This window comes from Homo sapiens, chromosome 8 (assembly GCF_000001405.40).
Source record: "Homo sapiens chromosome 8, GRCh38.p14 Primary Assembly".
Lineage (NCBI taxonomy): Eukaryota > Metazoa > Chordata > Mammalia > Primates > Hominidae > Homo > Homo sapiens.
The window spans coordinates 135522238-135549036 of record NC_000008.11 but is presented as its reverse complement, the minus strand read 5'-3'; the positions used below and the strand labels follow the sequence as shown (position 1 = coordinate 135549036).

General features: G+C 36.5%; 1 protein-coding gene across 15 annotated transcripts in view; it reads right to left on the bottom strand.

The window, feature by feature from the left end:
• Positions 1-26799, bottom strand: part of KHDRBS3 (KH RNA binding domain containing, signal transduction associated 3) — a 199061-nt gene that overhangs the window by 107480 nt on the left and 64782 nt on the right. For all 15 annotated transcript variants that reach the window (XR_242372.3, XR_001745458.2, XR_928287.2 and 12 more), the window contains 2 exons: positions 6267-6383; positions 137-283 (listed from right to left, as the gene is read on the bottom strand). Coding sequence is in view for 9 of the 15 variants with exons in the window: in XM_047421269.1 (XP_047277225.1) it covers positions 137-283; positions 6267-6383 (264 nt within the window). In the remaining 6 variants the exon portion in view is untranslated. The remainder of the gene's footprint in view (positions 1-136; positions 284-6266; positions 6384-26799) is intronic.

Below are 26799 nucleotides of genomic sequence, written 5' to 3'. Positions count from 1 at the left end.
GTCTACTTGAGGTGATGTCCATACAGCTTTACAGCAGAAAAGGAGCTATGCAAATAACAGTTACAGACAAGAAGTATCAAGGATTAAAGCAAAGACTTTAAAGTACAAGTTAACTATCAAGAAAAATGGTACTAACAGGGATGAGGAACTTTTTGATTTCTTCCAAAGCATGTCCCATCCTGGCATAAGCTTCTGCAGGTGGGGCAAACACTTCAATGAGAACATGGAGATCATCATTGAGATGGAAGTACTTCGCTTCTCCACTTTTCCTCAACTCTTCTTCCTGGAAAAAGGAAAAAAGAAATCACATTTAAAAACGTGTCATTATAAGAAATGAAAGATAAATAAATAAATAAATAAAAACTAACCCCCAAAATAAAAACAATCCATCTGGCAAGCGGTTGTCACAGTAGACACTACTCTAAAAAAGAAGGTTTAAGCTATAAATGTGATCCTGATATTCCCAGGCTTTTACACACACTCAAAGGCTTCCTACTGCTGCTGGAATAATGTCCCACTCCAGACGCTGACTTGTAGGAGCCCCATCATCTGCTCACTTCCGCTGCTAGGGTGTCTTCACCTTCTCCAGTCTCCTTTGCTCAACCCTCCGCAGCCACTGCCCACACTTCTTTTGTGCTTCTCAACCTGGCTGAGCTCACGTGCTCACTTCTACACTGGCTGTGTGCGTCTCTGTGATGCTGGTACAAGGCACTTATCACTATCTGAAATAACTTATTTTTAAAAACATGTCTATTTTCTATCTTCTCTTAGTAAAAAGTGATTACCATGGAGCAGACACTGTGACTGCTTTGCTTAGTGATGCATTTTCCATGTCTAGAGAAGTGCTTGGTATACAGATGTTCAACAAAGATTCGTTGAATGAATGATTAAACATTCATTCATTGCTATGTCAATTTGCTCGTTCGCATATTCATTCAAAAAACATTTCTACATACCAAGCACTATATTCTATCTGAGAATAAAACAGTGAATAAAACAAAATGAAAGACTTTATTACGTTATTTTACATAATTATGACAAAGTTTTTAATCTTTGTTTGTTTCCATAAGGAAATGCAGGACGAAAATTAGGAGGAGAAAAAAACAGATCGTTAAGGAACTACTGATTTTGCTCCACTGCCTTTTCCTAACTAACCTTCAATTTTAGGTCCTGATTTCAGAATCTGGGTCTTCCATTAGTCTCTGTTTCCAATGTTAGTATCAGACAGATTAAGATTAACAGGAATCTGAGGCTAATTTCCAAAAGATAAGAAATCTTTCTAGTCTCTCAAAAAGGCTATCCCATAACCAAGAGAACCCCAGGAATTCCTGGCAATACCACCTTTTAATTTCACAATTAAGCAAGAGGCCAATAATAAAATAAATGCTAGAGGCACATAGCCCTTGACTTCACCCTTGAAGGATTCAACTTCTGTTACTTGACTAATTTGAACTCTTACAAAGAAAAGAAAGACTAATACACAGAGCGGGAAATGGGCATGGGATTTAGTCACCTATAATTTCATCTCAGCTATGCCAGTCACTAGCCATGTGAGTTTAGACAGACTGTATGTAATCCAATACTTAATTTGCAAAATCTGTTTATTGGTAGCACATGTATATTAATGCAGAACTACTGAGAATACAAGGCACAGCTTTATATAAATGCTGGCGAAAGGAGACAGTGTATATACTACCTAGTACACTGCCTAACATATAATAGGCACCAATACATGCTAGCTTCCATCACATTAATAGAAGTAGGCCAGAAACTGAATGAAAGGAAAAAATATAAGGGAATATATGTAAATATAAGCTGCCATAATATTCTATAAATTTCCTTTGAAATTTGTTTTGACTATACAAAACATTATCTTACGCCAACTCTTCATTGTTCTAATCAGAACATTTCAACCATCTGATCTGAATCTCTCTCATTGCTCAAGTTTTAAAAATTGCATTCTATGTACAGCAATTCATCCCTGAAAGCACAAATTATTGAAACAAACACTTATCCTTTTCTAATAGAGTATCAAAATAATGATGTTAATGAAAGATTATAATTGTTCATTATTATTCAAGCATTATTATTTCTATCACAAACTTAAGCTGGACAGAGAGGATTTCTTATCATAGCTGTAGCCAGGGTACAATCCCACAGAGAGGGGAGTTATTACCAAACTACTCTACAGATTAATGATGACAGGCAATGTGTTATTTGGAGAAAAACACAGATGTTGAAATTCTGCATTAAACCCCTAATTCAACATTAACTGTATGACTTGGGCAGATTACATTACCCTCATCTTAAAGGGGTGATTTTTAAGTGGGGAAAATAATAGTACAGTACTTATCTCATAAGGCTGTTATAGTAATAAAGGAGTTAACAAACAAAACGTCTTTAGGATGAAGCCTTGCACATAATAAGCGCTCAGTAAATGATAAATATAGTAATGATAATTATTATATCACTATCATTTATTCTATTATTGTATAGTATAAATGATGCAGGCAAAACATCCAGCATGAAGTTTGGCACAAGCTGAAAGCTCAACAGACCGGAGCACTGTCATGATTATTATGCTATGTAACCAACTAATATACATCAATAATGACTCCCATAATTTCATAAATGTAGCAAATAAATGCAGAAAAATTATATTCACATTAGATTTTAATAGTGAACACTTTGAAAATCTAAATGGATGAGATTAAAATAATAAGTAATGGGAATCTCTTTAGAAATAAACATATTAACTGATAACTTCTGAAAACTAAAACTAGTAAAAAGGATCAACTGAAATCAATATTCAAGAATTCAGGCAGTGACTATCTGATTATAATACAGCAGATGGGATACTAGTAGTATCTTTTTTTTTTTTAATTTATTTATTTTTTTGGGAGACAGAGTCTTGCTCTTTCACCCAGGTTAGAGTGCAGTGGCTCAATCTCAGCTCACTGCAACCTCTGCCTCCCGGGTTCAAGCAATTCTCGTGTCTCAGCATCTGAGTAGCCAGGATTACAGACGTGCACCACCATGCCCGGCTAATTTTTATATTTTTAGTATAGATGGGGTTTCACCATGTTGGCCAGGCTGGTCTCGAACTCCTGACCTCAGGTGATCACCCCGCCTTGGCCTCCCAAAGTGCTGGGATTACAGGCATGAGCCACCATGACTGGCCAGTATCCATTTAAGTTGCAAACCTGTTACTTAAATGATCATCTGTGGTCACCCTCAGTAAAATGCTTTTGAAAGAATGACTGATGGATCATGTGACAGAGGCTACAGCGCAGTATGGGACAAAAATGGGGAGAGGAGTACAGGTGGACAAGAGATAGACAAAACTGGTGGAAAAGAGTTTAGAGAGAAAATGACAGACTGGGGCTTTACATTATCAGTTCAAGCCCAAAGAGCCAGAAGTAAGCTAGGGTGCACCGCTTGCAGCCACAGGTTGACAGGGCCAACAAACAGGTGCAGAGTTCAAGTCTGTGTGCGGCTGAATAACAATACAGATGCTCAGCCGTCTCTTATGTGAGACTCAGGACAGTGTCTGGATAACAGTGAAAACCTAAGAATAAATTAAACCTGAGAACACATTGACGTCTGGGAGGATTCAAATAACTTTGAGTACTCAAATACTGAAATGCCACAGAGCCTTCCACACGGCAAAAGCCTGCCTGGTGATGTTTTTCCCATGTTGCTTACACAGCCGAGGTAGTTCCTTGAAGGGAGATGACAATTCTCATGCTTCACTACTCCTCCTCCTTATCATCTCCTGGCCTACGATCAATCTCTGCTTAACCAAACATGCAGAGAATAAGAGAGCTATGTTAAACCCAGGGGAAAGGCTGCTTGCGTACAGTAACTATGATATTTCCTAGTGTGTGAGCTTCCTCCTAGTCCTCCCAAAACAATGAATCTCTCTAATAAACCCAGATAATATATTCAAATTCTCTGAATCTCAGATCCCAGCAAGGATCTCGGACATTTTACTAGAGTGACTTTACACCGAGCAGAGGAAACACTTAGACAGTTTGAGAATTAACAGAACTGATTCTGACCTAATGCCACTCCACTGAGGGCCACCAAGCAGAGTGGGGCTTATGGGATTAGAAGGTAAGGAGACTTCTGGTCTCAGTCCACTGACAGTGGGTTCAGTGGATTGTAAATCCACAATGTATGCTACTCCCCTCCCTGGTTCCTGAGTGCCTTGATGAAATATACACAATCAGCCACTTGCAGAATCACCATACTGATTTCCAAAGACATAGAAATGAAAGAACCAGTGAATGGGTGATCTGGAAAAGAGGGTCAATCATGTAAAATCAGGGTGTCCCATGCAAATGCAGAGCTGGCATTCAGCCAGGTAGTCAAGAGGACTCATTGCAGCAGATGCTAGAGCACCTTAATCCCCAGCAGTCTCCATGCAACTCAAGGTGCTCATCAGCAAAATGGCCACGGTGGCCAGGAGGGAAGTCATGCATTACTTCATAACACCGACTCCCCTCAAAAAGGATCACTGGCTATTGACATGCTGTGTGTCCAATATGCCAACAGCAGACAGCCTTGATATGACAATATCATCTGGAAGGCCCACCAAGCCCTGACACCAAGCTGATAATATTTAGGATCCCTTTCATTATATGGGTAGTCAGGCACTTGCTGTTAACTCGGGCATACAATCCAGATAAAGCTTTGCCTTCCTTGTTTCCCTTCTACCTGTAAAATTCTTGTGGATGCCCTGATAACTACCACTGTATGCTACAAAACACTGCTTCTGACCAAGCAGTGGTTCTGACCAACCCCCTTAACAACAAACTAAATAAGTGGGACAGTGGAATCCTGCTTGTGGGTTTCACTGCTCATATCGTGCAGCCCATTACCAGATGGCCTTATTAGAGCGTGAACTAAGATATCAGCAAGGGTAGAGTACTTTCCTGCAAAATACACATAATTTCTGACCAACTGGCCAAATATATGTTTTCATTTTCTCCTACTGCCAGAATAGATGAGTCAGAGAATTGAAGTCATAATTTAAGAGAGCAATGTTTAGTGAGTAATTAAAAAAACCAGGCCATGCACTGGAATCATTTCAAACACCTACTGAAATTCATTTTGAGTTTCTACCCTAAACAAGTAGAGGTATGGGAATCTACTTTTAAACAGTATCCCACACAAATCTGAAACATGTCATGTTTTCCAATGCTGTCGAAAATATACGGGTGCTGTTGTCAGAAAACCATGGTTTTATTAACTGTGTTAATCAAAAACAAAAAATTCTCAAATTAACCCAGATAATATACTCAAGTTCTCTGAATCTCAGTTTCCTTACATGTAAAATGAAGAAAATATTATCTCCCATCATTTTTCCAAGGATAACATGAAGGAATGCATGTAACATGTTTCACACAGCGCCTGACTCACAGTAGCAGCTGAATAAACAAATACTGGCCATTTGTATTATAAAAGCTATTGTTTAGATAGCTTTTTTGTGAGGATGTTGGATTGTGTTTAAATCACCTGTGTTTAAAACATCATTGTTCAACATTTCACGGTATGTGATCACTCAATGTGGATTTGGTTCTCAGTAATATAAATCTTTTAATAATGAGAAAACAACACGTGTCTTTAGAAAACAATGTGACACACATTATGATATGAGAAAATTTTCAGAATTGGCATATTTAAGAAAATGATCAATAAAAATAACACTATTTTTAGCTGGTTAAAAACCATGACTATTAATGTGAATACATCTAAGTAGAACAATTATGTGTTAGAACAATAAGCAGTTACTACACTTAAAATCAATTTTAATAACATTCTAAAATGCACACAATATCAAATAAAAGACAAAAAGAAGAAATAAAAGCATATACATTATAAACTCAACTATATGTAAGGTCTGCACAGAAAAAAAGACTCCAAAAACACTAATCTAAAATGCAAACAGTAATGATGAGACTATAGATAGCTTTTATTTCTTTTCATGATAATTTTAATATTACTTTACTTCCTACAAGGTGACATATTACAACTGCAATCAAAACTTTAAGTATTATGTTTTTATTTAATGTATGACTATAAAGGTTACAGATGCAGGTTTAAGTTACTACATATTCTGAAGCTGACCAGAGTGACTCAATTTTCTAAACAGTATCACAAATACATCCCCTTATGTAACTATGTATGAATACAGTGGATAATATAAGAGCACATAATATAACATGATACACAACTTAGCCGTTTTCTATAATTAATATTACCTTGGCCTTGTCTCTCATGGAACCTTTCCCAAGGATGGACATTTTTGTCAAGGTTTCTTCTTGTAAACGCTTCAGAGAATTGCCACGTGGACCCAAAAGTTTCCCCACAAAGTTGAACTAGGAAAAATAAACAACCAAATTTGTAGCATTTATATGTGAAAGCAATTTCTTAATCTTGAATGTTAAGAAACACTGTAGTGTGCTACACATCATTGATTAATGGCAAATATTTAAGCTCCTGCTACATGCATTAAAATATGATGTTTCCCACACACCACATAAAACGGGGCTAAACGTAAAATAAAAAACCCTGATATATTTCTTTATATTTATTTCAGTGATGGCTATATTCCACAACTGTGAATGAAGCTAATTTCCCAGAATTCCTCGGTTGCTATCCTAACAGTTTCAGCACACGTTAAATATCACCATGAATGAACACTTCTAGGATGAGAATGTAGGTGAGAAAAAATGACACCAGGTGTCTCTAACATGCACTAGACTGGTCACTGTGGAATACCTGGTTCTTCTACCCGGTCAGCCCTTGGATCTAGTTATTCAATCAATGAGAGGACTGGCTTAGATGAGTTCTTAAGCATTCGGTGGCTGATGGAAGCTTTACAATAAAATTCATTGCTTCTAAAATAACTAGCTATGGGAATGTGGGCAATTTATTTAAACTTAGATGTCTGTGGTTCCTTAACAAGCAGAATAGTAATGAATTAATTAAGGGTATGCCTTCTGTAACCAGACTACCATGATTTAAAACCTAGCCTTTTCTGTTTGCCAGCTGAGTAAACCTGGGCAAGTTACCTAACCTGTCTATACCTCAGTTTCTTCATCTGTAAAATAGGAATGACAACAAGACCTACCTTCATAGGGCTGTTCTAAGGATTAAATAAGTCAATATAAATAAACTGTTTAAAACAATGCTTGCCAGATAACAGACACTCAATACATACATCTTGAATACAAAAAAAAATCAGGAATTTCACACAATTTTTAAAAGCCTTGCTATAATTAAGGTAAATCATGACTACTTCTTGCTACCAAATAGAAAATCAGCAGGGAGGAAGCTGTTCGCCTTGGCAAGATGCTTGATTACAAACTCACATAGCAGCCACTTCTTCCGTGATCCATGCCACTGCTGTGCTGCTGTTTCTGAGAGAAAATTGTTCCTCAATTTACCTAACTATGGCAATTGAAGTAATTTTCCTGAAATAAGTACTTAGCACTTTAAAAAATCTAAGTGGTATTTTTTCCTTCCAACTTTTAATTTTATTGGTCTTCAACCAAAACTCAAATATATATTTTTAATCTTTGCATGTAATTATTTTTTGCTTGTTAAAATGCCATTTTCAGTAAAATATTTTTAAACATAAAAGTTATACTTGCAGAGTTTACAAAGTCTAATACTACTACAGAGTGAAAAAGTGGAGTAAATGGGGAGCAAGAATGGGACTGGGTACTGACCCATACAATCCCACCTGATTCTAGCTCCCCATTTACTTTTATTATCTTTCTGAAAATCCTATTATTTGGACATTGGACATCCTGAGATGGACTGCTATCTCTAAATTTCTCTTTTATTGTTTGTGTCTCTCTGTTTTACTTTCTGGAGAATTTAAATACATTTCCTATATACCTACTGATTCCTTCATTTTTGCTATCAAATATTTACGAATACGACTGTCTTACAGCTGTTTCTTCTTTATGGTGTTTTGTTACACTTTGTGGAAACAATTAAATTTCTCATCCTTTCTGAAGATATTGATGACAGCAGCCTGTCCCCGCCTTGGAGTTTAAAGTATCTGCTTCTTCCAAGAGTCTCCCCTTCCCCATTTTGTGAGCTGGTCTCTTTCTCTTTTATGGGATTTCCTCAGATGTCTGGTAATCCTCTACTATCTGTTCTTAAAAATTCCGGATTGCTGACTGGAAGTTCTGTTTTCATACATGGGACTTGGCAACAGCAGTCTTCATTGCAAATATGGCAGCTGAGTTATTTTATCAAGAGCTACTGAAATATCAGTATCTGTATTTCGTTTCACTTGGGCGAGGCACTTCCCTGAAGAGAAACTCCTCAATCTCTTAAGAGGAGGTGTAAGCCCAGCTGCCAGAATACTGGGAATCCCATCACTAAGCACGCACACTTTTATTTAAAGGAAACAATTCCCTCATTTTCAGTGTGATATCTCACCCTCATCCTCAGTTGTATCTGTCTGTATCTTGGAGCCTCACAGTTGTCCAATTCAACCTCTTCAGGAAACCTCTGGTCTTTTGCTAGAGTGTGGAGGGGCAGATGCCTGGTTTTATAAGATGAGAACATCTTGTGATCTAACTACTCCTTATACCTTTCAACCAAGTCTACTCTTGTCAGTTCTAATCCATAAATCCACCTTTACAGTAATTGCTACCTACAATTCCTGAGCGCTCTCGAGTTTTCCCACAGTAATGAACATGTTTCTGGTTGAATTCTTCCCTGCCTGCCAGCTCAGGGTTCTGCTTTCTCTGGTCTCCGTTACCATTTATCTATTTATTTTGCAAGCACCAAAATTTTACAGACATCATTTGCCTATTGTTGTCCCACTCTCCCATTCTTGTGATCTTCATAAATTTATGCCTTTTTATTTCATTTATATTTATTTTAATAGGTTTCAAAAATGGAGCAAAAATAAATTTTGATAGTCAAATAGTCATATTTATCTTGCATCTTAAGTTAGGTCAAATAGTTCCCAAGTGATAAAAATTAAGAGGCTTTAGAAATCATCCAATCCAAACATCTAATTTTATACAGAAGAATCTGAAGTCCATAGAAAGACATGATTGATTAAAGGTCACTTGACAGCATTCCAGGTAAAAAGAAAAAGCATTTTATTGACTTTTATATACCTTTAGGGGTTTCTTTTTTCCACTTAACTTCTGTTAGTGTTTTGTTCACAAAAAGTACATAAATGAATACTGTGACAACCAGAAACACTTTTATTTTCCCTTCTTTTTCCTCTCAACTCTGTTCAACCATGTATCTCCCTAGTCAAGTTACTTCTATCTCCTGAGTCAAATTAACCCTCCTGAGTCTCAGACTTTTCATCCACAAAACACAGACCATATTACCTACTGTGGGTGCAGGTCGCATGAATTAAGTAAGAAAGTATACGAAAATCACCTAAGAGAGCAGCCAGCAGATTGCGTATACTTGATGCCAAATTAGTAAGTAATAAATAGATGAATTTAACTGTTGTGGATATATACAATTTTATCTGAACAAGACCCACCTACTGTGGAACTGCATCCCCTTCAGAACCTATGGCAAGTGGGAGAAGGCTACCAAGGGAGCCACCACACTGAAAATGGCATGACCTGGCCCAGGCCACCCAGATCGGCCGAGGAATTGGCCTTTGACTGGAAATCAAGAGATTCTGAAATTTAGAACTGATTATGTGGATACTGAATGTCCTGAGAGCTGAGTCACAATAATGGTAATGTGCTTGGCTGCTCCGGCAGGTTCTCAAACTGCAGATGTTGCATCACCTCCCTGTGGGACACTTGGAAATATTTAGCATGTTTATTTGGTTGTCACAATGACTAGGGTCACTACTGGGACTCAGGGGCAAAGGCCTATGTCAGGCATCAGAAACAGATGGTCCTGCCCTTCACCAAAGTGTCCTGTTTAAAATGTCAATTGTGGCCCAGGTAAAAAATACTGCTAGAGGGAAAAGCCAGAGACAATTTCTTAGGCTTAAAGCTCTTATTACTGTCTTTTCAGTTTGCAAGTTCAATTCCTCCATGCATTCTATAGGACACCCTAAGGTAGGTTTTTTTTGTTGTTGTTTTTTGTTGTTTTCCTTTTTTTAAAGAAAAAATCCTTCAAGCTAGTCATAGTCGGTATTCGCAACAAGAAAAGGCCTAACTAATAGATGGACTGAGTATGTATTTTGGACTTTCTGGATGATATAAATAATAAACAACGAAAGCGGCATAGTTGTCTTCTTTGCCATTAGTCCCATAACACCTCCTGATGTCCCACTTGCTATGGGTTCTGAAGGGGTGTCATCATACAGTGCCCTCATCTTATCAGCAATGTGAACACAGAGGTTTCTCAGCATTTCTAGTTTTCAGTTTCACATTTACCAGGTGTGGCTTATAAAAGTCATTACATTTCAGGGTCATTATGAAGAATAAAATATCAGATAAAGTGTTAAGCACGGTGACAATGTTGAATTTTACCTGAGCAGCCCTGTGCACCTAAAAACAGTGATGATTACAAAATCTCCCCACCCTTTTGTGTTTCTGGAAAGTGCTTGTTGCAAAGGCCCACTCTTACCCACATAACTTAGATAAGACTCACAGAGGATCCTTTATTTACCTACAGCAAGGACAGACACAAACCCTCAAAATTCCCATTATTTTGCCCCTTAAAAAGTAGCTGAACTGTTTGTTTCCACTGGTCAATCAGAAAAAGACATATGTCCTGAGTTAGTTAAACTTTGGTTCCACTTCTCTCCTTTGTCCAGACCCCTGAACTTTGACCCATCTTCAATCTGAACCAGCAGACAAGCTCCACCCAAAAGCCCCTTTGGAAAACAGGCCAAGCTCAGGGTAGTGTTCTCTGATCACTGTCCCATCCTGCCACTACCACCCATTCATCGCACTGCCCCACACCGTTCTGGCCTCAATCACTTCACTCATGAAAGGAAAGCCTTTTTCTGCCTGACTTCTGAGATATAACTTACAGTTCTCATGGTCAGTGCTTTCTCCCTTTTTAATATCCCCTCTCCCTATTGCCAATAGTCCCTTTCTGTGGTCTTGCAGTCACCTTTTCAAATAAAATCTCCCCTTATCCATGTCCTGATTTTTTATTTTAAAAACTATATCTGCAAGACAGTAAGAAATAAGCAAATACATTTTAATATTCATTTGTATAAATAACCTCATTTGTCCATTAATACATATTCATTAATATTAATATTCATTAATAATTTTATTTGTTCACTTACATGGAAATTATCATTTTACAAATTTACAAATTATCATTCCTAAGACTAATAATTTTTCTCCAGATGTCAATTATTGTATCTCTCACAGACACACAAATGTTACATTTTTAAACACAAACCATCCAAAGTCCCATTATTTTCTCCATTAAAGATTAGCTGAACTGCTTGTTTCCACTAATCAGGAAAAGTCACATACCCTGAGTTGGTTTTCAAGTGATTATGAAGATGGTATAACAACATATAGTAAGTATATCTGAGTTTCACTGCATGATGTATAAGCTACAATAATTATATTATTCACTGGTAAAGACCAAGCGCCTTTCTGAACTAGCTTTAATTGATCTAAACTATAATTGTGACATGACACTGTTCCTTGGGGAGCAATTACAGTTAAGCTGTCATTTCATAAACAACTAAATCTCAAGAACCTGTCACGGTCTCCATTAAAAGGTTTCCCATAACTGAGTGCTCACCAAAAAGCTGATTAGTATAATAAAGGGATATCTTACTGACCTCTAACACAACACTCAACACTGAACTTGGAAACTCCGCCACCATAGCTTCAAACATGCTCTTCTTCCAGAGTCCCTTAGCCCAGCAAATGGTGCCACTGTCTTCGCAGTAACTCAAGCCTGAAGCCTGCCACCTACTGCACGAGGGCACTGACTAGGCCTGTGTGTTCACTGCTTTATCTCTCCAACATGAATAGAGAGGGCGTTTAATACATGTTAATGATCTAATTAGTTATATGTTAATGATTTTACCTCCTAAACATCTCCTTTTTTTTTTTTTTTTTTTTTTTTTTTTTTTGAGATGGAGTTTCGCTCTGTCGCCCAGGTCGGACTGCGGACTGCAGTGGCGCAATCTCGGCTCACTGCAAGCTCCGCTTCCCGGGTTCATGCCATTCTCCTGCCTCAGCCTCCCGAGTAGCTGGGACTACAGGCGCCCGCCACCGCGCCCGGCTAATTTTTTGTATTTTTAGTAGAGACGGGGTTTCACCTTGTTAGCCAGGATGGTCTCGATCTCCTGACCTCATGATCCACCCGCCTCGGCCTCCCAAAGTGCTGGGATTACAGGCGTGAGCCACCGCGCCCGGCCAACATCTCTTAAATCTGTCCATTTTCTTCAGTCCTCCCACAACCACCCTAGTCTAGGCCCTCATCTGCTCTCCCTGGACCACTGTAGAGTCCTTTCTCTGTATCCACTTCCATCTCCTTCAATCAACAGAAAGGTCTTTTTAAAACACAAGTTGCCCATATTACACCTCTGCTTAAAATACAACGATGTGACTGTCCTGCGAACCTGAGTGCTAGTGTTTTGCTACTGCTGTGAAAAGCCCTTCCCAAACATGCTAGCTCTGGCTCACCTCTCTAGCCTCACCACATTTCTGCTTTTAATTTTAGCCATTCTGGATTTCTTTCAGCTTCTCAAAACTGCTGTGCTCCAAGAACTGCACATTCAGTTCAGAAGTACAGAGTTGGAAGGAACGTCACATCCACCTTTTAAACAATAATAAAAAAAAAAAAAAAAAAAAAAAAAAAACTGGACAGAAAGCAAATTAACACTGAAGTCTATGGGCAAAAATTATTTCTCCCTGTAGGTATCTCTGTCCAGGAATCTACAGGGAGAAATAAAACTCAAGCATTTGCTCATCTGGGGTGGGCTAGCATGAGAGTATGGAGCCCTGGAAACCACCCAATTAGAAAAGTTGAAACCTTCTTAAAAGCTTTATCTGCAAAAAAATCCCTCCTACCCCCAGGCACTCACAGAGAAAATTAAAGAAAATAAAGAAACCACTTCCCCTGGGGAGATAGTGGGGGATAAGGGATTGCTGAAATCTGCCCAGAGCCACCTATCCTATGTCCTTCTCCTGAACCAAAGCCTAATCTTCAGGAGGAATCGGTGTTTAAGGCACCATCTTAGAAGCAGGGACCATGCCCTCGCCACACAGTAAACCTGCCGGTGCCTTGACCTTGGACTTCCCAGCCTCCAGAACTGTGAGAATATAAATTTCTGTGCTTTATACATTCCTCAGTCTCAAATATTTCATGGCGGCAGCACAAATGGACTGGGATACCTTCTGGTATTTAAAAAGAAAAGTCACATTCTACAAAGTTAAGTGACCCATAGGATAAAAAAAGAAAATTTCTTATACAGCATTTTGCAATTGAGTTAAACTTCTTGACCCAACACACATATAAATATATAATAACTGTTCTATCCCATAAAGACCATAATGTTATATTCAATTAAAGACATCAAAACTTTTTTCAGAACAAACTATATTCTACAGAAATTATGAGTCCCTATTTGCAAGTAACAGGTATAAACTATATATAATAGTTTATATATAGTTTAACTATATATAATAGTTTATATATAGTTTAACTATATATAATAGTTTATATATAGTTTAACTATATATAATAGTTTATATATAGTTTAACTATATATAATAGTTTATATATAGTTTAACTATATATAATAGTTTATATATAGTTTAACTATATATAATAGTTTATATATAGTTTAACTATATATAATAGTTTATTATAGTTAATATAATAAACAGGTATATTAACAGGTATAAACTATATGATTTTCACACAACCTTAACTGATTTTCACACAAATTAGAAAATTAGGGACAGAAAAGTTCCACTTTAAGGCTATCTTGGTTATCCACTACTACATAACAAACTACTGCCAAATTGAATGGTCTTGAAAAATAACCATCTTATTTATTTGCTCACAATTCAGCAACTTCGGCACTGTTGGGGGCAGACAGGCTCATGAGTTAGTGGTGGCTGTCAGCGGGGACCTCAGTTCCTGCTGGTTTGCCTGACTCTTCTTCACCTGAGTATCTTAAGCTTCCACTTACCATGGCAGCCTCAGCGTGAATAGGCTTGTGCATGGTGTCTGATTTCCAAGATGAGAAAAGCAGAAGCTAGAAGTCTTTCTTAAAGCTCAGGCTTGGAGCTGGCATTGTGTCAATTCTGCTGCATGCAATCAGGTAAGCGAGATGCAGAGTCAGACAAACTCCGGGAAGGGCACCACGCAGGGCCTGAAGGCTTGCATGTATGGTCATGGGGGCAGAGCACAATATATACACTACACCACTGATAAAAATGACAAAGCAGTCACTGATCAAAAAGTCAAATTTTAATACCCTCAAACATTATGGTCTTTTCTAAGGCCTGGCTAGCTACCTGCCTGTCGCCTTCTTTTTCCTAAGTTGAGAAGCAAGATGGTGATTTCTCTGAGCGCGGAAACCCTGTCTTACTCATCTTTGTACCTCAATGACTGTCTAGAACAGCATGTAACTTATGACAGGCAAGGAATATTTCATGCATACAAAAGTGAATGACAAATACCAACTGAAATTAATGCCCCGAAAGTATTAATCACTACCCAAGATGTTAATTAAAACAAAACCTAGAATATACCACACAGGGAGATGAAAGGAAGCACATTTTTGGTATATGGGGTCTAACTGGCCAACAAGGACTTGTAATTGAGCTTAAGTTCTAAGTGTTTATCTAAAAATGTTAAAAAAAAAACACCTGAGAAGAATTGTAAAATAAAGGATATTAGTATTAGATAAACAATGTAAATTTATTTCTCTAGAGGTGGGTCTAAAGTAGAAAGTAAAAAGGAGGATATAAAGAATTTTTTTAAAAAATGTTTGGATACAGTACAAGATATAGACAGTTCTCGACTTACAATGGTTCAACTTAGGATTTTTTGACTTTATGATGGTGTGAAAGCAAAACACGTGCAGTAGGAAACTTTATTTCCAGTATCCATACGACCATTCTGGTTTTTCAATTTCAGTTCAATATTTGATAAATTACATGAGATATCCAAGACTTCATTATAAAACAGGCTTTGTGTTAAATGATTTTGCCCAACTATAGGCTAATGTTGAGTGTTCCGAACATATTTAAGGTAGGCTAGGCTAAGCTTTGATGTTCAGTAGCTTAGGTGTGTCAAATACATTTTTGACTTACAATATTTTTAACCTACAAGTGGCTTATTGGGACAAAACCCCATTGTAAGCGAGGATCAGTATATATCTCAAATCAGTTTAACAGCTAAGAAACTGTGAGAAAGGAGGAAGGCAATAAAGCAGGTCCATCAGTACATTCCATGGTGACAGCAAATGTAAATACTACCTATAGGTTATTACCTCAAATATTCCACAGTCTTAAGTTAGGCAATGTAAGAATTATCCCCACCCATATTTACACCTTTGCTCCTTCAATGGGTACTGTGTGTGTATACACACACACATTTATCTATCTAAAAATCATAAGCCTGTTCTATCACTGGTTAATACTGCAATACTTATCTAGGCCAAGATTCATCATTAACACTACCATACGTAGAGAAATAGCTCCAACTGAGAAGACTGTTCTTGTCATATCCAACTGGATCATAGTTGTTTTTAATCTTTTTATAAGGCTGAGTTGTACTAGGCACAAAAGAAGGATCAGCTCTCTGGTTTTGTCACTAATTTAAATTGTATTTATCTACAACCCTTAATTAACAGTGTCTTTTGCAGTAATATTTGCCCACTGGAGGACATGTTTAATTAAAACTAGCTAACATAATCCATAAATCTGCAACCAGGCACATATAAATAGCTGTATGCCCCAGTACACTGAAAGCAAATGAATTAATAAATGGTGTTTTGCTTTCACGCCATCATAAAGTAAAAAAATCTTGAGTTCAACCAATGTAAATCGAGAACTGTACCTTGCACTGTATCTAAACATTCAAAAAAAAATTCTTTATATCCTCCGTTTTACATTCTACTTCAGACCCACATCTAGCAAAATAAATTTACATTGTTTATCTAATACTAATACCTTTGTGAGACCTGCACTGTGGAATAGCCCCTTTCACTTCAGGATACTGTCTCAAAGTGCATATAACTGGACTTAGATGAATCATGTAAGGGTACTGTACTAATCCATGCACTAAATATTAATAAAGTTTAATTTCTTAAAAGCATAGGCCCTGGAGTCAGACTTCTAGGATTCAAGTGCCCGATACTTAGTAACTTTTAGCAAGTTACTCAACTTCTCTGTTCTTCCATTTTTTTTCACGTCAACAGGAAATAATAATGTCTATCTTATGTTATAAAGATTAAATGAGTTAATAGTAAAGTGCTTAGAATAATGCCTCGCACACAAAAAACCACTCCGTGTGTGTACACACACATAACAGAAGTCTACACATAAATAGAAGTTCTACTGTATTTTCCCAGCACCCAAATGTATTAGCACGCACTCCTCTTTGGAGAACACCACTCAAGCACTTGCTTTCTGTACTTTACTGGGGAGAACAAAAGCTTTCAAAGAACATCTTTAGTTTATAATCTACACTTACCTATTTCCTGCCCAAGGACAAAAATACAAAGGGAGAACAAACAAGGTTTATTTTCCCTTTATCCTCTTGAAAGAACCGATCGATACTTTTATTAGCTCAATGGGACATTTTAAGTTTAATAATTTGACCACTAACACAATGATTACTTAAATAAATCCCCATTCTTAGTATTCAGGATTCTGATCTCATTTGAATTATATCAGTGTAGTAAATGCCAAACTCTAAACAACAGTAAACCTAACAATGGACTTGGGACCATGGCATTCACATGAAATGGAGTAGCCTCCTCAGAAACAAAACACTTGTTTCTTAGCATAGTTGCTAACTGAGTCAAGCTTTGCATTACTGATAATCATTTTCAAGATCCTGATAATCACCCCTGAAAATAACAATCACTTTGTACGTGGGCATTTTAATGTCCTAAGAATAAGTCATTCCAAACTTGTGTTTAGGTGTTTATTTCAATATCACAAATATTTCAGGATTCTCTTCGAGATATATACAATTCCATGCCCAAGTAAAGCACTGAAGGCATTCCAGAATATATTCCTTATGATTTACACGAATGTTATGATCCACTATTCCCCATAATGAAGTCATTCTAGCCCAACAGTTATTCTACCTTTCTCCCTCATGTCTGTTAATGTCCTGAATTTATTCTTAAAGACTAAATTTAATTTCATCCATAATTATTTCTCTAGAAATAACTCTCCATCATGTCCTTAAATTCTATGCTGTGCCTCTACCTTTGTAATATTAATTCAATCTTTATCCTATATTATTTAGTAAAATTTATCCTTTCCCCTATTAGATTATGAATTATTTGAGAGCAAGTAGGACCCACATTTAATTAAGCATTTTTCGTATATAATCGTTTCTCAATAAATACTTATGGAGTTAAAGCTTATTTTTCTCCAAATTGAATAGCACTATTCAATAAGGTTTTTATTGATTTTTTTTGTTGTTGCAGAGATTACTATATTAAAGCTATAAATACTATTATTTAAATATATTAATTTTCCAACTACAGATCACTAGGTATTATTAGTAGTGGTTGAGATTATTTGGTGTTACTCCATTGACTGTAATTTTAACCTAATATCCATTTCTAAATGATAAACAGCCCAACTTATTTAGACGTTAATAATTCTAAAGATCAATGAAGTGTACAAGTAACTTTTCCAGAATATAATATGAGCAAAAAAAACATAGACATGCACACACACAGGCACACGCAAGTAATATACAATCTGAAATAAGCTAACTTACATACTTGCTATCTGCATTTGCTTAAGGTTGGATATTCCAGGAGGAAGTGTGTGGAGGACAAGCTATGAAGCCCATAAACATGAAACCGTTAATTCAGAAAATCCCAGACTACAAAAGTCAGGCTACAAGTGGGGTGAATGATATGAAAGATTTAAAATCAAAGGCAAGAAACTGATACAGCAAAGAATCTATTGCAATCGATAGGGTAAGGGGTGATAGTGTTCTAAATTAAGGAGTGAAATGAAATGTAAAGAGAGATAGATGATAATTTAGAAAGTAAATGAATGGTATCTGAAGGATGGAGGCAAGCAGGTCAATGAGAGAGAAGTGCGTAGACAAAAATTATGTCCTGGTATCTGGCATGAGTACTCAAATACACTGTTGTCTGTCATTTACTCAAGTAAAAAACGCAGGAAAAAGTCAAGGTTGGCCAAGAAGAGGAGGTATGAAGTTCAGATACGGACATGGCAAATCTCTAAGATGTTTGTGGGGTATCCAAGTGGAAGCGTTCAGTGGCCATTTGGTCTAACAGTCAGAACAGACACAGGTGATGCACCCAGTGCCAGAAAGCACAGGTCAGGCTGGCTCATAAGCCTGACTTCTTTCTCTGTAACCATGATTATCAGTCTGCCTTTGTATTATGTGTCCATTTTTCATGTAATTACATATTGATTATTTCTTTTAATGGAAATTTATAGTTCAATCTACGGCATGAATTTTTGCCATTTTCCTCCAAAAGACTGCATCCTAGAAAAGAGGGATTATGTTCTGTTCACATTTCCTATCTCCAATACCAGTATAGTCACGCAATTTTCAGTTGGTCCAATTTGGTGATCCTTATGGAGCCCAGAGCCAAAATAATCAGTATAGTAATATCCAAGATATATAAGCCCAGCAGTATATTGCTAAACCACTAAAAATATTTTTGCTTTTTGGTTCAGCAATAGACATAGAGATATATCCTCTATGATGTACCCTCAAAGTAAGCAGAGATGTAATTAAAGAGTTAAATATAACAAAATTCATCACAGACTTTAATTTCTTTTTTTTTTTTTGAGATGGGAGTCTCACTTTGTGCCCCCAGGCTCAGGCTGGAGTGCAGTGGCACGATCTCGGCTCACTGCAAGCTCCACCTCCCGGGTTTCACACCATTCTCCTACCTCAGCCTCCCAAGTAGCTGGGACTACAGGCACCCGCCACCACGCCTGGCTAATTTTTTTTTGTATTTTTAGTAGAGACAGGGTTTCACTGTGGTCTCAATCTCCTGACCTCGTGATCTGCCCGCCTCAGCCTCCCAAAGTGCTGGGATTACAGGCATGAGCCACCGCACCCAGCCCACACACTTTAATTTCTAAATTTACTGCTTTGTGACAAACATACATGTAATAGACTGTTTCTAGTCTTTTAAATGTAATAAAAATTTTAGGAGGCCTATATATAAGGATTATAATCAAATTTTTAATTATTCATTGGCTCAGGAAAATAACACCAATGATAATAATATGCCCCCAAACAATATCACTAGATTATTTCAGGAACCCCTCAATATATGCCTGGCTGTTTTTGGATTTCACTTTAAGTTTCAATTTTACTGAAAATTTTATTTTCAAATTTCAATTTTATTTTCACTTTAAGTTTCAAATTTAAGTTCAAGTGTTGCTTTCTGCCTCAATAATCAAGCACTGTAAGGAGAGCAAACGTTAAGATTTTAATTCCCTCCACAATACATCTGAAATGCTGTCATATTTGTAAATACCAACCTAAATAACTTCCCAATTCTCACAGACAGGGGCTGTGTCACAAGACCCAAGTCCAGAGCCTCTGAGAACAGGACAAATGTAGCTTCTGAAGATTTACTCCTCCTGCTGCCGCTTACCGGTTCTCTTCTTTCCAGTTCCCACTACAAGATGTAGGTTGACAAAATGAGAAAGTAGAAGAGAACCGTCCATCATAAAACAATGGCCATTATGCGCCAACCAGTTTCTCTAAATTTATATAATCCATAGTGGCCTTTCTACTTTATCATAGGCCCAAGATTTAATGAATACTAGGAGTGACTCATAGTAACTAAATGTATCCTTAAGTGATTATTTTTAATATCAGGCTGCCTTGATGTCAACAAGATTCAAAATCCCAACTAGCCAGCTGCTATGGTTTCAATGTTTCCCCTCCAATTCATGTTGAAAATGGCCACTGTGGGGGTAATTAAGAGGTGGGGCCTTTTGGGAAGTGCTGAAGTCATGAGGACTCTGCCCCTATGAATGGATTCAAGCCTTTTAAAAGGGCTAAGGTAATTAATTAGCTGAGGCTCTTTTTGCTCTTCCGCATACTACTATGCGAGGAGGCAGCAAGAGGGCCCCCACCACACACCAAATGCAGGTGGCTTGATCTTAGATTTCCCAGCCTCCAGAAATGTAAGAAATAAATTTCTGTTCTTTACAAATGACCCAGTCTCAGTGTTTTGCTATAGCACCACAAAGGTCTAAGACAACCAAATTAATTTTGGCACTGTGGATACAAAAAACTAGCCTACATGTACATTATCACTTTATTTCTAGAGGTAAATTACCACGTGAACATCAAAAATCATTTTCACATAAATTATCTGAAAAAATATTATGTCTCTGAAAATCAAACAGGAGCAACAAAAATGGCAACATTTAACATATCTCTATGACTGTAAAATATTCCCTATCCTAGGAAATCTGTAAATCCACGATGATTTCCATGGAATAGGCTTCTACCAAGTAGTAATTTAAAGGGTTTTAAATTGTCTATGACATACTACAAGGAAAAAATGCAAGCCCACTTCAAAAAAGAAAGTTTCCCTGAAACACCAGGAACAGACATGTTTTATCTCTCAAAGATCCTTGACCTAACCATTTATATGAAGAGAACAAATATATCACATTCCCAACATTCAGATTCTAGAAAAACTTTTAACAGAAGAAACTTTTGCTGGTTAAGACAAAGTTACTGCAGATAGTATGTACACAGATGAGAATGCTTAGAGGCTAAAAGGACAATTATCAAATTAATAAATTTAATAAACCTAATTTAAACTTATAGACTTAACATAGCACACTAAACCTTGAGAATCACAATCACAGTACAAAAATACCTCCTGAGTAAAAACCTCAGGCACATTTTGCCCAAAAAATGGAAAATGTTTTTATATTAATAAAGGTTACACTAAGTTATTAAAACATTCATGTACAGAAACGTGTAAAGTAGAAAAATATCACGAAAACCTATACTCCAGAAAACAACTGCTATTAAGATTCTGGTTCGCTTTTTCAAATAATTCCCCAACTTGGATTCTGGATTTTCTGTATCTTGACTTTTCTTTTTTCACTTAATATTATAGCACAGACACTTAAAACAGAGCATTATACATAGAGATATAACGTATTTAATGTCATATTACAACTCACTTTTTAAAATGGTCCCTAAGCATTCTTTCACTCCAGCATGACTATGCATGTGGCATTCCCTCTCCTGAAATAGTTTGCCATCATTAAGCACCTGGAGAAGCCTCATCGTCTAAAACAGTTCAAATGTCATTCTCTACTTTAACTTTGCAGGACCTTTGGCCAATGCCACCCACATTCTGCTCCCTTACAACTTCATTTATGTCTTCTATAAAAATCTGTCTAGTCAAATTAAATGGCTTGTAATTCCCCAAATGCCTTCTGTGCTTCAATATAGTGCTCCTCTGTCACCACCCTTCAATTTCACTATCTCACTTCTGACCCCAGCCAGCCAGACTCTTTAGAGACAACCTCCTTAGAGCAGCCTTCTCTGAGCCTATCACCAGGATCCTCTTCTTTGTTCTTTCAGGGCAACCTGTATTATTAATATTAACTTATTCATCTGCATTCACCAAAAAAAACTGGCAGTTTTTTAGCCCAAAGACCATGACTTAACCACTTCGATTTTCCCAGAACAATGTCTGGCTCAGAGAAGACTCTTTATAAATGCTAGGTATAGACAGAGCCGGATCCACTGACGGATGAACCAATGAATAAAAAAATAAATGTAAACCCTAAACCATAATGTATCTGTAGGTCCTCAAAGACAGGGTACCTTGTTCCAATGTTGATTTGGGGTTTATATTGACCATGTTCCAAGCTGGCGCTGATCAGCACCAGAGGTTAAGGTTTATCTGCAAAAAAAAAAAACCCATGGAGAACAATTTCCATAGCTTCTAAAAAAAACTTCTAAAAAAATCATAAAACAGCATTTAGAATTTCACCCTTTATAAGCTCAGATACATAACTCAAGAGAGTGAATATACATTAAGGTCTGAACACTAAATGATTCCTGTGTCCAATGCTGTGCCATTGAAAGAGTGTTGAAAATGGTTCATTAACAGAAGAGAAATTATTCAATTAATGGAAATCACTTTATCAGATGGAGTTTCACAAACAGTAGTTCTCTCTTGCCCCAGAAGCTGGAAGTGTACCATCAGCATTAATTCCACACTACACTATTCTCTACTCACAGCTATTCCAGCTATTTCGTTTCCTCCAGTTCATTCTATTAACTGACACAAGCATGAAAGCTTCTTCTTAGGACTGATTGCAGTGCTATATTAGCTTGAAACAGGGCTGGCTTGAAACCTGTATGCTCCATTATGCTAAGCAGAAATATTGTTTTTCAGTATCCTGAAAGCAGTAACTTCTAAATGGTCTACTTCAGACATTGTAAGTACTTGAAATGGACTCTAATCTCAAACACAGAAATTATAATTTTTAAATTATAATTTAAATCTTAAATTAAATTTTAAATTATAATTTAAATATTATAATTTTTCTTCCCTTACCTCAAAGCTGACAATGAAAAACAATATTTGAGATTTTATTTCGTACACTTTATTGATGTTATGAGTCAATAATGATGTGAACACATTCCGAGAAATGCATTGTCAGGTGATTTCCTCATTGTGCAAACATCAAAGAGTACACTTACACAAACCTAGATGGCATATCCTACTGTATACCTAGGCTATATGGTATAGCCTATTGTTCCTAGGCTACAAACCTGTACCTCATGCTACTGTACTAAGTACTATAAGCAATTGTCACACAATGGTAAATATTTATATTTCTAAACATAGAAAAGATACAGCAAAAATACAGTATTATAATCTTATGGGATCACCATCATATATGCAGTCCATCACTGACTGAAATCACTATGCAGCACATGACTGCACTTTATTTTATTTCATTTACAAACTTGGAGACAACAAAGTATTAGTTTCAGGTTAATCATCATCAACTAGACTATGAACTACTTAAAGACAGGGTCTATAATCTGGTCATCTTTCTATCTATTGCATATTAAGTATACAGAGCATATTGAGCACAAAGAATCAATATACAAAGGTTTCCACCAGTCATGTTTTGTTTGAGTAATGAGTCTGTCTATGAAATGTTTGTAACGTAATTTTCTGTTTACAAGACACATATATTCCCCTGAGTTCTGCAGGTATGGCTGAGAACATTCCTAACAGGCTGCCCACCTATAAATATCAACTGTAAACTCCTAAACTCACAGCAAAATATAAAAGTTAACTGTCTGAAGCACTGAAGACTGATCGAAAACAGGCAGATTCTGAAAGAAAGTTATGACTTCAGCAAAGGAAATACCCTGGGGTGAATTTACTCATTTTAGAGCTTTTGGCTTTAGTGGCAGAGACTGAGAAAACCATAGTGCTGAAATGTGAGGGGGGAATACTAGAAAAGACGGTCAGAGTTGCAGATAACCAAATATTATGTATAAAATCTTCTGAAATCTCTGGCTGGCCTCTGAATCACGTGACAAAAATTAGACACAAAAAGCCAAACTAAGGAAAGAAATGAACTGAGACTTGAACTCTTACCCAATAGACACAGTTTATACCCTGAATCCAACCAAGTTAATTAGCTGCTAAAACAAAAATATCAAAATTCTTCCGCGAAAGTAACAGAATCCAAGGTTTCTACAATGTACATTCACAATAGCCAGCATACGATCCAAAATTACTCAAAATGCAAAGGGCTGAAGCAATATGGCTCTTCATCAAGATAAAAGACTCCCAGTGCAAAATAAATCTAAGATGGCCAAGACTTAGAAGACTTAGAAATTAGTAGACAGAGATGTTCAAGGACCTATTTAACCGTACTCAGTGACAGAGAGGAAAATAACACTTGCAATGAATTAAAAAATAGAAAATCCCAAGAGAGAAAAAAATATTTTTACATACATACATGTATATATGATTCAAATGTAAATTCTGAAACAGATAATTATGATTCCTGATATAAAAAAATTACTTGGTGGGTTAATAGCAAAATGAGAACAGAAAGGAATCAATGAGTTTAAGATACAGCAGTAAAAGTTATAAAATCTGAAGGACAGGAAAAAAAAAAACAGAGCCACAGAAACTTTTGTGAGAGTGACAAAAGGCTGAAATATGTGTAACTGAAATCTCAAAAGAATGAGAGGAGAAACGATCAGAAAAAGAATTGAAGTAGTAACTGAAATATTATGATAAAATGTACAAATCCTTTTAAAAACAAATTTTCACGAAAGATGTCATAGGAAATCTGTCTAGTGTCATACCAAAGATACTGAATTCATTATCAAACTCCAGGCCCAGATTGCTTCACTGGTGAATCTATCAAATATTTAGGAATAAGTAACACCAATCTGATATATGTTCTCTGAGAAAATGGAAAGAAACACTTCCCAAGTCATTTTATGAAACTAGCATAACACTAACATTAAAATCTGACAAAAATATTATTTTAAAAAATGTACAGGTCAGGCTGGGAGTGGTGGCTTCTGCCTGTAATCCCAGCACTTTGGGAGGCAGAGGTGGGCAAATCACATTAGGCCAGCCTGGTCAACATGGAGAAGGCTCATCTCTACCAAAAATACAAATGTTAGCCAGGCATGGTGGTGCATGTCTGTAATCCCAGCTACTCGGGAGACTGGGGCATGAGAATCACTTGAATCCAGGAGATGGAGGTTGCAGTGAGTCAAGGTCGCGTGACTGCACTACAGCCTGGGCAACAGAGTGAGACTCTGTCTCAAAAAAAAAATAGTATAAGTCAGTATCACTCATTAAAATAAGATGCAACCGAATCCAGCACTATATAAAACAGATAATATATCACTATTAAGTAGGGTTTAACCCAAGAATACAAAGGTTTTAGTTTTAAAAATCAATCATTAAAATCTACCATATAAACAGTGTAGAGAAATACATTGTGTTTATTTCAATAGATGTAGAAAAAGCATTCAAAAAAATTTACCACCGAGGATCAGAACTCTCAGTAAAACTGAAGCAGAAGGGAACTTCCTCTACCTAGCAAATGAAATCTACCAAAAAAACCTGTAACTAATATTGTTCTTAATGTTAAAATAACTGCATGCTTTCCTCCTTGATTAGAAACAGGAATAATTCCTACTCTCCTCATTTGTCTTCAGCATTACACTGGAGATATTAGCCAAAATAATGCAAGTAAAATAATAAGATGCATAGAAACTGGAAAGGGAGAAGTAAACTATTTAAGCAAATGGTATAATGATGTGCATGACAAATCCTAAGAAGTCTACAAAACAACTTACTAGAATAAGTGAATTTAAATTTAGCAAGGTAGCAGGAGACATGGTTAACATACAAAATTTTATATTAGAAAAAAAACTGGAAAATAGAAATTTAAAAATATTCAATTTACGATAGTGTCAAAAACACAAAATATTTAAGAATAAGTTTAACAAAAGACATACAAAACTCCTATCTTAAAAAGTACAAAGCGCTGTTGATAGAAATTAAAGGGAAGACTCAATATTGTTAAGATGTCAAATCTCCCACAAATTGCTCAACAGATGCAATGCGATTGCAATTCTAATCCCAGCAGATGGTTTTGTAGTAATTAACAAAGAAATTCTTAAATTTATATGTAATTGTAAAGGATCTAAAGTATCTAAGTAATCCTGAAAAAGAAGGACAAAGGTGGAGGAACTACATTACCTAAACTCATGTCTCACTATGTAAAAGCCTATAGTAATCAAGACAGTGTGGTACTGGCATAAGGATTCATAAATAGATTAAAAGAAGTGAACTAAAAGCTTAGAAATATACCCCCACTTACATGCTCACCTGATTGTCTCATCAAAGGCACCAAAACAATCAGTGGAGGGAAACATCTTTCAACAAATAGTGCAAGAAAAACTAGATAACCATATGGGAAAAAAGATGAACTTGAGCCTCTATCTCATACCATATACAAAAATTCATTTGAGATCTATCATAGACCTAAAAGTAAAAGCTACAATAACACTTTTAGAGAAAATACAGAAGAGTATAACTTATAAAGAACTCTAACATTTCCTTGAGGTTGGCAAAGATTTCAAGATTCAAATACATGAATAGCCAATAAGGATATGAAAAATTGCACAAAATGATCAATCATAAGGTAAATGCAACTTCATACCACAGGAAGATACCAATATACCATCAAAAGCTAAAATAAAAAAGGCTGACAGCACCAAATACTGATGAGGGTATGAGGCAGCTACAGCCTGCACACATTGTTTGTGGAAATGGTACAAGGTATAAGTGCTTTGGAAAAAAGTATGACAATTTCTTGTAATACTAAATACACAACAATTTTCAATACTGCGTATTTAATAAAGAGTAACAAACATATCTGGTTATGAAACAACTTGTACAAATAGCAAAGACATGGAATCAACCCAAATCCCTATCAATGACAGGCTGGATAAAGAAAATGTGGTACATATACACTATGGAATACTATGCAGCCCTAAAGAGGAATGAGATCATGTCCTTTGCAGGGACATGGAAGGAGCTGGAAGCTA